Source organism: Homo sapiens, chromosome 5, assembly GCF_000001405.40.
Source record: "Homo sapiens chromosome 5, GRCh38.p14 Primary Assembly".
NCBI lineage: Eukaryota > Metazoa > Chordata > Mammalia > Primates > Hominidae > Homo > Homo sapiens.
Genome location: NC_000005.10, coordinates 50779237 through 50791368, shown reverse-complemented (window position 1 = coordinate 50791368; position 12132 = coordinate 50779237). Strand labels below are relative to the sequence as shown.

Here is a 12132-nt window from a genome sequence, read left to right as displayed (position 1 = left end):
TCAACCTCTCTGGGCTTCAGTTTCAACATCTAGGAAATATGAGAGTAACAAGGCCTGTTTCATAGAGTTGTTGTAAAGATTAAATGTCTTATTATATGTTAAACACTTAGAATAGTGCATGACATATAATACGTACTGCATAAGCATTTGCTGTTGCTATTGTTGATAAAATTATTCTGCTGTCTGAAATCACCAGAAAAAAATTTTCCTGTGAAAAAGTTATTCAGTAAATAAGAGTGTCTTCTATTTACTGAAAACCAACTGATAACAAGGGGCCTAGATTCTAAATTTGCCTTCCTAACTTGCTGTATGTTTCTAAGAAAATAACCTCTTTATATTTAGTTTCTTTTTATAAATTATTGTGAGGATGAAATTAGATTGCTAAAATAATGGGATTTTAGGCTGGCAGTGACCTTAAGGATCATAGCCAAATCTAATTATTTATAATTAGGGAAACAAACATATCAGACCAAAATTTCTCAAGGATCATAAAATAATTCTAATCTATATTAACAAACTTTCCACATAGCTAATATTTATCCCTAAAAGCAAGTAACTCTTTGAAAACATTAATCACTCGGATAGGGATATTAATTAAATATGTTATATATGTTACTAGGTACTTAAACAGTGAAAAAGGCACATAGCTTTCTTTAATTTCTCAGAGTTGGGATTATATACATGATTTCTTTTGCTGAGCCTATGTAATGTACCCAGAAGCCACTAAGGGTAGAAAGCTATTTATTCCTAGACCTGTGTACTTTTGTAAATCTTATCTTATTTTGATCAGCTCCATGCCACTTAAAAATAAAAGTTTGTAAGTGTCTTGCAAAAGTACACAAAGTAGAACAGTATAAAAACAAGGGAGGAAATTGAGTGAGGAAAAAAAATCATAGTATAAAAAAAATGTGTCAAGGTGAAATGGTACCCAACTTGCATAATGCCATCCATGCTCATCATGGAGGCAGGCTCCATGCTCATCTCCAAGACACGCAGGATATGGGCACAATGCAGGAAACAAAATCCAATCACAAAAACACAACCAAGTGTCCTGGGAAAGCATACCTGACCCTAGAATGGAAAACTGAGAAAATTTATCCTGTGAGTCCTTATAAGAGAACACTACATTATATAATATGCTAAACACATATTGTAAATTAAATTTAGTTTTAGAGAGGCAGAATTCTAAACATTAAGGGTTTATTATCTAATTTTATATTTGCATATCTTTGAACTCAACACTGGGAATTTATAAGAATGTTTTTTCCTTTCAAATGTGGTAGGCACACAACTCACATTTGAGTAGTACTGCCCCAATTTAAGTCATAAAAACTTGAGAAAATTCTAGAGCTCTGTAATACGTACAAAATCCTAGATATCATATATGTGGCTTCCTACATCAGGCAAAATGACCTCAGTAAGTTCTCTATTTCATATATCAAATATAGTTCCAATATGTTTTCCCTTAGAATATTGCTCAGTAGAAGCCCACATATGATGCCAAATTTAAATTCATTAAAATAAAAGTGATCATATAGACTGCATCATTATGAAAGGCCTAAACCAGGCTTTAAGCATACAATTATCTAATGGTCTTTCTTGACAAATTTACATTTAAGCTAAATTTGCAGATTTGGAAGAATAATCCTCTAGGAATTCTCCATAAACACAAATTCTTAAAGCTGATATTAAGTATAGAAGTTAATGTTTATATTCTGACCATGGCGAACTGAGGTACGTGCCTAAATTTTAAAATTCAGTTCAAATGGCGTGGCTTTATGTCTTCGTATGAAATCAAGGCTCATCTAGACTCTATGTTCAAAGAGAAAGCTGTATTCCCTCTGTGTGGAAGGCTGGCGAAGGAGACCATGTGGATGGCATCATTATTTTCTTCAGGGAAAACCACAACAAGCCCTCTGGATGCATACCAAAACACAGGCCAGTGGGTCCCAAAGTTCTGTGCCTTAGATCACATCAGTGATCTTCTGATTTTAGAAAAATTTGAGAGCCAATTCTTGTGTCTGTAATTTATCAGTGTTCTCTATTTACTTCTAAGATGCATTTTTTTTCTTTCTAGTGCCATTGTATCCTGGCTCTATCAGTGTTTTCTTTTTCTGTTTTTTAAAAATAGATATTTATATAAAATAGACTTAAAGATCATAAAACAAAATCAAGGTCCACACAGGAAATAAAGTGTTTAGTTAAAAAACCAATGTTTCAAAGCGGTAGGAATGGCAATTAGGGATAGTGCAGGAGTCCAGGGCCGGTGGCTGCTAAACTGATACCACCTCTGGGCCCCAAGGAATGAGCAGTGGAAGCCCTCAATAGAGCCCAGTAAGAGAGAAAGTCATGTACACGTTGCAGCCTGGAGCAGAGCAGCAGGCTTCAGTGGAAGGACTGGTCGGCTCAGGATGACCTCCTAGGAAGGAAACCAGAGCAGTAAGTACTTCCATCTTACTCTCCTTCCTGCCTCCACTGGTCATGTTAGGGACTCAGAGCCTGTGTCCACACAGGTCAGCCTCCCCAGGTAGAGAGCAGGGTGCTGGAGGAAAGAGAGTGGATCTTGGATAGCAACAGAAGGACTCTGGCCCAGGTGGAAAACTGAGCCCTGCTAATAAATTATCAACGCAGCTCTTAGCATCATGATGATTTCCTCTCTTGAGGGACTTGCTTCAAAAAGTTCTTACTGAATAGGTTTTTGTTTGTTTGTTTTAATGAACAAAATGAGAACTCAGTTCTCTTTAGCAGAAATTTATTTTTTGCACTTTAGCAAACTTACTTTTTCAGCTGATGTCCCAATCCAAATCGCTCTTTTGTGGAAATCTGAAAGACATCAACAGTGGGCACTGGAAAGGAAAAAGGATCACAGTCACATATTGACTTGAAACTGAAACTCAACCATCAGCCAGAAAAAGGTTGAAATCGCATTATATATGTGCATATACATATACACATTTAAAAACAGTGTACATGCAGTCCTAAACAATGCTATTTATGCTATATGCACATAGGAGATTATTGGTCATTATACATTAATGTATAATATATATTATACATTATATTGTATACATTATACATTATATTGTATAATACATAATACATTATATTGTATACATTATACATTATACTGTATAATAATATACAGTATAATGTATAATAATATATATTATACATTAATATATTATATATTAATGTATAATATATGTAAATGTAAGAAAGAATGATCTCCAAAGTAAGCAACAGCTGAACTGGCCACATGTAGGACAGTTAGTGCATTATTTTTTAAGTGGAAGAAAGACAACATGTTTGCATCTACATACATCATTTTTAGAATAAAACAATGGGAGATGAGAAGGCACAGGAGATTTCCTTTTCACGTGGTTCGTACTTTTACCAGGTATATATATATGTGTATATATGTGTGTGTATATATATGTATGTATGTACATATAACATATATACATATATACTAACATATATATGTTTAAATCGGTAACTAAATGTATAAAAATACTAAACTAAATATGTAACTAAATATATAAAAATATATGTTTAAATCGGTAACTAAATATATAAAAATACATATATACATATATTTCTTTAAATCAGTAACTATATTAATTAAATTAATAACTTCTCTCAAAAAAGTCGCTCATTTTTCATTATTCACTGGTTTAAAGAGTATCTCTTGCACTCATCGCTCCAGTCATTTCAGATGGAAGAGTAAAAACACACCCACGAATATCCCTGCACCCATGAAGTCTGAAGTCCAGTAAGAGGAGGAAGATGAAAAACAGATAGAAAAATAGATACAATGCTAGATGGCAATAAAGGCTCTGGAGAAAAATAAAGATGGGGAAAAATATATGGGCTGCAGGCTATGTGGGCTGAGGTTTAAATGTTAGATAAGAACAAGCAGGAAAAAAATGTCCCAGCCAGAGCAAAGAACAAAGGCAAAGCCCCTGAAGAGAAAATATGCTGAAATATCCTAGGAACAGCTTGGAGAACAGTGTAGGGAGAGGACTGAACAAGGTCTCATGTCAGGAGATGAGAGCAGGGAAGGAACCTGGTGAGCTCTGCAGGATCAACTGGTCAAAGAGCAAAGGGAAAAACAGGAAAATCAGTCAGGAACTTATTGCAACAAGTGAAGCAAGATATATAGAACTTCGTCCGTGGAGGTGATGAACATTTTGGATTCACACTTCTAGGAGAGTGGACAGATTTTGCGGGTGGACTGGATTTGAGGTATGAAAAAAAAGAAGAGTTAAGGATGAATCCAAAGATTATGGTCTGAGCAACCAGAGGGATGAAATTTACCAATTCCTACAATGTGAAAGACTGCAGGAGACACAGGTTTGAAAAGGCAGATAAGACTAGTTATTTGACCAAATACTTTAAATTTAAGATGCTTATTTGATACTAAAATGGAAACGTTAAGAAGGCAATTGGAGAAGCCCAGCATTTAGGCATTAAAGGTGAGAGGAATGTACTAAAGATATAAATTTGGAACAGAGTATATATATATAAAGGCATGAGGCTGAATGAGAAACCACTCAGTAAGTCTATGTAGGTGGAGGAGAGAGAAAATGTGAGGATTAGGCCCCGAGCCCAGCTCAGCAAAGAAGGCTGGGGAGGAATGGCCAAGCGGATGGAAGATTCCAGAGTGCTGCTATCTAGACACAAATTCAAAGAAGTTTTTCAGGCCAGGCACAGTGGCTCATGCCTGTAACCCCAATACTTTGGGAGGCTCAGGCAGGTGAATTGCTTGAGCCCAGGAGTTCAAGACCAGTCTTGGAAACATAGAGAGACTCCATCTCTATTTAAAAAAAAAAAAAAATTAGCCAGGCATGGTGGCATATGCCTATAGTCCCAGCTACTTAGGAGGCTGAGGTGGGAGGATCACCTGAACCTGGGAGGTTGAGGGTGCAGTGAGCTGTGATAATGCCACTCTACTACAGCCTGGGAAACAGAGCAAGAACCTATCTGAAAAAAAAAAGAAAAAAAAAAGATTTTCAAGGAGGAGGTAAACAACTGTTATGAAATACTGCTAACTTAATTAAGATGAAAACCCAAATAGGTTATGAGTCATTTGGCAAGAATGAAGTTACTGATGACATTGACAAGAGCAGTGTTTGAGAAATGATGGGACCAAAACCTGACTTGAGTGGATTCAAAGAGAGAAAAGAAAAAAGAAAATGAAGTAAGCTAATAGAGACAACTCTAATCAAGGAAATTAACAGTCAAAAGAAGCAGAGTGTTAGGGTCCAAACTGAAGAGGCATTTGAGGTCAAGAGGGTTTTTATTTTATTTTTTTAAGACAAGAGAAATATTTGCTGATGTGAATCTTCTAAGAGAAAAAGAGAAATGAATAGTACAAGAAGGAGGAGGAGGAGAACTGAATTGCTGGGATGGTGTCCTAATTAGGTGAAAGCGAACAGAGACTAGTGTGCAAATGAAAAGATGACATATAAGAGCTTAGATAGTGCCATTCACAGCAACAGGTGGGGCAGCAGATAATTAGAGCAAAGATTGTGTTGCTCATAGGACCTTCTCAGATCACACATGCTCTATATTGTAAGCCAAATGGTATCCCCTGTTGGCCACTACTCTGGGACACAAATGCTCCATCAATCAAGGAAATTGGGTGTTTGTATCCCCAAAAAATTAGTTCGTTTCCTAAGAACTCCCTAATCCTTGTACAAAGAGTAAGGTATAGAGTAAACATCACTCCAATCCCACTTATCCTAAACCCATGGCTATCAAAATTCAAAAGTGAATAAGAACATTCTAACATCTTGAAAACCTCAGTGGAATTAAATGAGAAAGCACTGTATTTTCTCTAAGAAGATTTAAGAAGATACAGTCTCTTCAGAGGCAGACAGAAAAAGTGGGAAGATGAGGGCAGAGAAACAAAAGAGATCTAGCTACAAAAATGTAGAAAAATCCGAAATGCACTAGAACTAATGCCTTTACCGGAGAAAACTGCGTATGATACATATGTAGAAAGAGAGAAAGAAGGGTTATATAACACTAGACACAAATGTTTATCCAGAACATAGAAATTATTCCTATAAATTAATAATACAAAGACCAAAACTTAATCATACTATGCATGACTAGAAAGTGTTAATATTTATCAAAATAAATTTTCTAGAAAAACATAAATTTCAAACATTGACTCAATAGCATAAAATCTAAATGACCTATAATTTTGGAATATACTAAGAGTTCACAAAATTCTAAAATTTCCAAAATTCGCAATTTGTAATTCATAAAATATTCCAAAATTCAAGTTCTAAAACACATATTATTATTAAAATAAATGTAATTAATTATATTCAATGTATTAATGAAAGATGTTAATAAACAGAGAAACAGGGGTTTGGAGTGTATGGGACCTCTGTACTAGCTGCAATTTTTCTGTAAATTTAAAACTTTTTAAGTTCATTTTTAACAATGTTTTAAAAAATTAATACTTTCTTGATAATAATGAGTTAGAAAATAAAATGAACTACAAAAGTCTAATTATGCAAATAAGTACTCAGGAATAAATATAGCTAAAATTAGTGACCTAAGCAAAAAAAGCAAACAAAAAACAACAACAACAAAAATCCCCAGAACTGTACTGATACATAAAACTAGAAACTACAAACAAATGTTCTTTTATAAGAAAAGTTAAGAACTTGACAGAAAGTACTAGTGATATATTTTCATGTTCTTAAAAAAGGTCAAAGTTATTCAATGCTTTCTTATCTCTCATATAACTGCAGTTGGGAAGTGAGGGCTGCCCAAGATATGTGGAAATTATTCTAATGCACTGATCATGCAAGCACAGAGGTACCAATAATGAGATGATATGCACAGAAATCATTTTAAAGTAAGGTTAGTTGTTTATCATTTTCAACTAGAAACAGCTTTGTCCTTGAGATGAAAAACTGCATCTCTATATCAGTAATTCCAGAAAATATACATTATCATAAAAGAGACAAATTATATCATATCTTTATTTAAAGCATATTTCCCCATATATAATACAAATAATCCTTATCTTTAGTTTCAAAGTGGATAAGGAGGTATATGTCTTCAATTCGTATCATTTCTGTTCTCTCACAGATATACTGTCAGATTAGCTGTAGCCAAATATTGATGTTTAAATAACTGTTATTTATACATTTCCAAAATGTAGGAAATCCTTTTCAAAAAGAACTGTTAAGTAGGTCAGTCTAAATCTTGAATTAGCCATACATTTTTTGCAACTTCATTTTACTATAAATGCTGATACCTTCCAAAGACACATTGCAAACACTCTTTTTAAATCACCGATTTTTTAAATCACTGAATTGTTATTTCAAAAAGTTTTCATAAAAAACATAAAATATCAACTTTTTGTAAATATCACTGTAAAAGACTTTTGCATGAATTGAACCCACTAGCTATCAACAGCTAACATACTAAAGGGATTTGTAAGATAAACAATAATAAAATTCAAAGACAGGAAACACATTAGAAAAATAAAGGTTTGACAAAGCAACACAGAGAAGGAAAATTCTAAATGGTTAACAGATATTTGGAGAAATTCTAATAAGTAGAGCCACGCAATTGAAATGATGAAGATGAGTATGTGCTCTCAGCTCAGATTAGACCAACCCATAAAAATTCCATTCTTCATAAGTTGACTGTCATAAAGTCCATAAAATAAGTTATTTAAGGGCATTCTTTGCAGCACTGATTATGGCATCAGGGATCTGAACACAATGTAGGTGGCCATCACTAAGAAAGCAAATATGTAAATTGTAGTGGATCTATACTATAGTATATATTAGTGTACATAGAGCAACAGGGCCAACAATTCTGTTGCTATCTTAGCAACAGAAGTGGTTAAGAGAATAAAATCTATAGCACGATAGCATTTATGTAAATCAAAAAATGTCTAACAGCACTATGCATTTGACAAGGATATACACATAGGCCATTGTGTTTTGTTTGCTCTCAAGTCCATTCCTCATTCTTCCACCTTTAGGCTGCATTTCCACAGGTCCCTTGCCAACTACCTTCCGGTTAGGTTTGACTAATGGAAGCGCTGGTTGGACTTGAGGAAGAGAAAGAGAAAGAGAATCAAGGTATTATTTCCCTTCTTCTCTCCTCCCTTCTACCCCATCTCCCTTCCCTGTCTCCCCTTCCCTCTTCTCTCTTTTCCCTCCTATTCCCTTATCTCTCTTTCCTTCTCCTCTCCTCTCTGTCTTGTGTGGGCACTTTTTAGCAGTTGCCATATCTTCTCCATGGTTGCAGCTCTTTACCAGACATGTCCTATTTCTGTGGCCCTAACTCCTACAGAGCAACTCCTGACATGGTTCTAGAACCTGTAAGATTTCCCTGATATTTGGATTCTGCTGCATACCATCCCTTTCCCGTGTCATTCCAGCCCCAAGGGACTGTAGTGATCTCTTGCGGTCATCTTCCCTAGTGGTCTCCTCCTACCACTCTCTGATGAGCCTCACCATCCTGTTTTTCTTCCCAACTTTTTAGCCACTGGATTAACTAATGCCTTATGTTTATTTTTTTTACCTGAGATACTAGAGTGGTTTGTTTTCTGATTGGATTCTAACTGATGTAGTATCAAATATTAGGAGTGGTCCCAGGCAACACACCGTAAAATGGGATACTGAGATTGGGCAGTTCATCTGCTTAACCTTAATAAGGTGGTAACTTCTTTACAGATGGAAACTGAAATAATGGTATTCTGTGACAGGCAGAGGCATTATGGGCATAGCACAAACACTCTTCATAAATATTTTCTTTTTTATTTGCTAGCAATAATCCTAATCATAAGCTAGAATAAAACCTAATTATTCTCCTGGAATAATAAGTTAAAGGTTCCTTTTTAGTAACACTGTCTCCAGTTCTATTCATATATTATACATTACTGCACATTTTCAATCATATTTTCCTCAAATTTTCAATAAGAAAAAAAATCTCTTGGGGAGTTTACTAGTAAGATGGTAATGTGAGTGAATACTTTTGCACAAACACAATCATAACCAGTACCTAACAGAAATAGGAGAAAACCAGTGAAAAGACCAGAAACTTGGAGTAATGCCATCCCCATGTGAGAAATGCCCAGCAAATTTTGCACAAACAGAGCAGATGGAATCAATCTTAAGGGGCCCTACAGGATGGATGCAAAAGTCTCCATTCTATGAAAGAGATAGATGCTATAATAAAAGTCAACCACTGCTGGTGCCTCTCAAAATAGGGAGCAAATGAACCCTAAGGCAGAGAGGACACTCCGGATTGGTCTGGCAGGGCTTCCTCCCTCAGCAGATGCTGCCTTCTTCTTGACCCCAGACCCACCATCTTTAGGTCAAGTTCTCTCAGAAGCAGACCCTGAGTGCAGACAAGGGGCAAATAATGTATTCGGAATTGTTCTCAGGAGGAAGCAATAAGAACAAGTGAGACGAGGGTAGATAGGAAAAGAGAAAAAGCCAAGCAAGGGTACAAATCCAGGGAAAGTTCTAGTTTCCACCCCATCTTGTAGGTAAAACTGGAGCATGCATTACAACTTAGAATTTGTACAGACCTGAAACAGAGTAGCTAGGCCACTGTACCTTCACACTAGTGACACCTGAAGAGTGAAGGGAAGATTAAAAAAACTGCCAAGTACTTATCTGCACTCCCCAGGAAAAAGAAAGCTTATTTGTCTAAGGACAAGCTACTGAGGGTCTCAAGTGGAGCTGTTAGCAGCCAAGGGTGCAGAAATGGGGATGGGAGCAAGAGCTGGGAAAGGGGACCCAGGGGAACAGGGTAGGGCACCAGCAGAGCTCACAGCCCTCCCCTCCAGTGGGCAGATCTCAGAGCTGCCGACTCTAAAGTAGGGTCAGTGTGGAATTCTCTTTCTTTCCTCTTCTTAATGGGAGAACTGTTCACACATCACACTAATTTCCAAAAGAAGAACAATTTCAACTCTTGCCTGTATATAATATTGAAGAAAACAAAACTCCATCTATAGGAATAAAATAATAAATCTTTGACAATTACTGATTGATATTCACAACAAAATTCAAAACGACACTAAACAAATAAAACAAAAGCGACTGGTGATAAAGAGGGAATAATACGGAATCAGTAAAGAATGTGGCCAAATTAAAAATATAATGGGAACATTAAATTTAAGATGAAATCACGAAAAAAATTCACTCAGTGGAGCAGAAGACAGATTGGAAAAAACATATAAAGTTTTCAGATATGAAGGATGAAAGAATTAGAGAAATGAAAAACATGGAGGACAAAAGAGTTAGATCCAACCAGCATATTGGGATTAGCAGGTAAAGAAGGAATAATAAATAATTACATAAAATGTACTTGAGGTGAATTAAGACTCAGGTATATCATGCAGAAATAAATACAGAAAAAATAGTATCAAGGAGAAGAAGAAAAAAACAGTCCAAAAAGTACACAACAAAACACAAACAAATCAAAACAGATTCCTTGCAAATAAAAAAAGTTAAAATACTTCAGGCACAAAATGAGAAGTTTCTAAAGCATTTTTGCTTTTCGTAGGAGGAAAACTATCATGACCTTGCTAATTTTACTTGGACAAGTTTGTCTCATTCACAAAACAAAAAGTCATTATCAGGTATGAAAAAAGAAAACATAACCCTCAGGTTTCCTTGGTTTCCAAATTGTAAAATATATGAATCAACCAATACAGATGAAAGAAAGAGCAGATGAGTTGTGACACTAAAGGAGTTGTACTGAACATTAAAATAATCTAACCATGAGTTAAAATGAGTGTTAAAATATTTATAAAACCACGCAAATGTAAAAAATCTTTAAAGAGATATTGTGAAGGAAAATATCTCCCTTACATTCAAGATTATATCAAAAAATAAGTATCAGAGGTAAGATTACATAAAAGCATGCTTCAGTATCATCTTATACAGATGGGGTTTGGGTGAGTAGAGATTAACCAGCCCAATTTCATTCCTAACCCTAAACAAAGTTCAGACATAAGGACTTCCTTTTCTTTTAACCACCATTAAAATAAAATCAAATTAGTATATTTCAAATCACTAAAATAAGAAAAAAGTTAGCCATATGGCAGAATATGTGGGGAAGGAGCAAGAACACATACAACTATGGGCTGAAATATTCTCCATACATTACAAATCATTCCCTTATGGCTTATTTAATGACTTGAAGACAGCCTCATGACTTAACATTAAGGTGCATAGCTATTTATAAAATTCATTGTCAACTTTATAAAAATAAATTCATATGCACATAGAAAACAGAAACAACACCAAGCCATTTAGCTTTCTCATTACAAGAATTATGAGAAATTCCTTTTCTTATTACATATTTATATATCTGAAATTATCAGAATAAAAATATTTTAAACATTTATTTTTTCTTGTCCAGCATTAAATCAGTTAGAATATGTAATTTATATTATGCATTAATTTAAATAGAATGTATTATGCAAAGACAGAAAACAAGTGACTAACTTTAAAAATGAAAGATTTTCCTGTATTTTATAAATTTGAAAGAACAAGTATGTTTCCTATGTGAAAACAAACAGTAGATGTATATTCCCTGATATGCCTAAAGGAAAAACATGCAGACATCATAGTAACATGTGTGTCAGATTAAAGATGCCCATGATTTCACAAGGTGCTGTCTATGTTCCTGTCCCTTGATTCTGGGTGGGCTCTTCAACTGCTGTGATCAACAGAATACAATGAAAGACTCACTATGTCTTTTCCCAGTAGCTTCTACATCCTGTCTCTTCCAACACTTGCATTTGCATCCCAGTCACCATGGTACAAGAAGTCCAAACCACATGAAGAAGCTATGTGTCGGACAGGCACTCTAGCCAAAAGCCTCAGGTGAGTCCCTAGATGACACCTGCATCAACTGCTAGCCATTTGAACGTCCAGCATTGTGTGTATCCAACCCAGTGAGGCCTTGATTTGGCCCCAGCCCCACCCACACATAACTGCAAATCATGGGAGACTGCAAGCAAGAAGTGCCCAAAGAATAGTGAGAGAGAAGTTTTTTTAAGCCACTAAGTTTTAGGATTTTTTTTTAAATGTAACACTAGATAACTGGAACAATATAAGTAGATACAATTGT

General features: G+C 35.3%; 1 protein-coding gene across 14 annotated transcripts in view; it reads right to left on the bottom strand.

Moving 5' to 3' along the window:
• PARP8 (poly(ADP-ribose) polymerase family member 8) overlaps nucleotides 1-12132 on the bottom strand; it is a 180589-nt gene that overhangs the window by 55151 nt on the left and 113306 nt on the right. For all 14 annotated transcript variants that reach the window (NM_001178055.2, XM_047417705.1, XM_011543631.4 and 11 more), the window contains one exon: nucleotides 2780-2846. In NM_001178055.2, the coding sequence (NP_001171526.1) occupies nucleotides 2780-2846 (67 nt within the window). The remainder of the gene's footprint in view (nucleotides 1-2779; nucleotides 2847-12132) is intronic.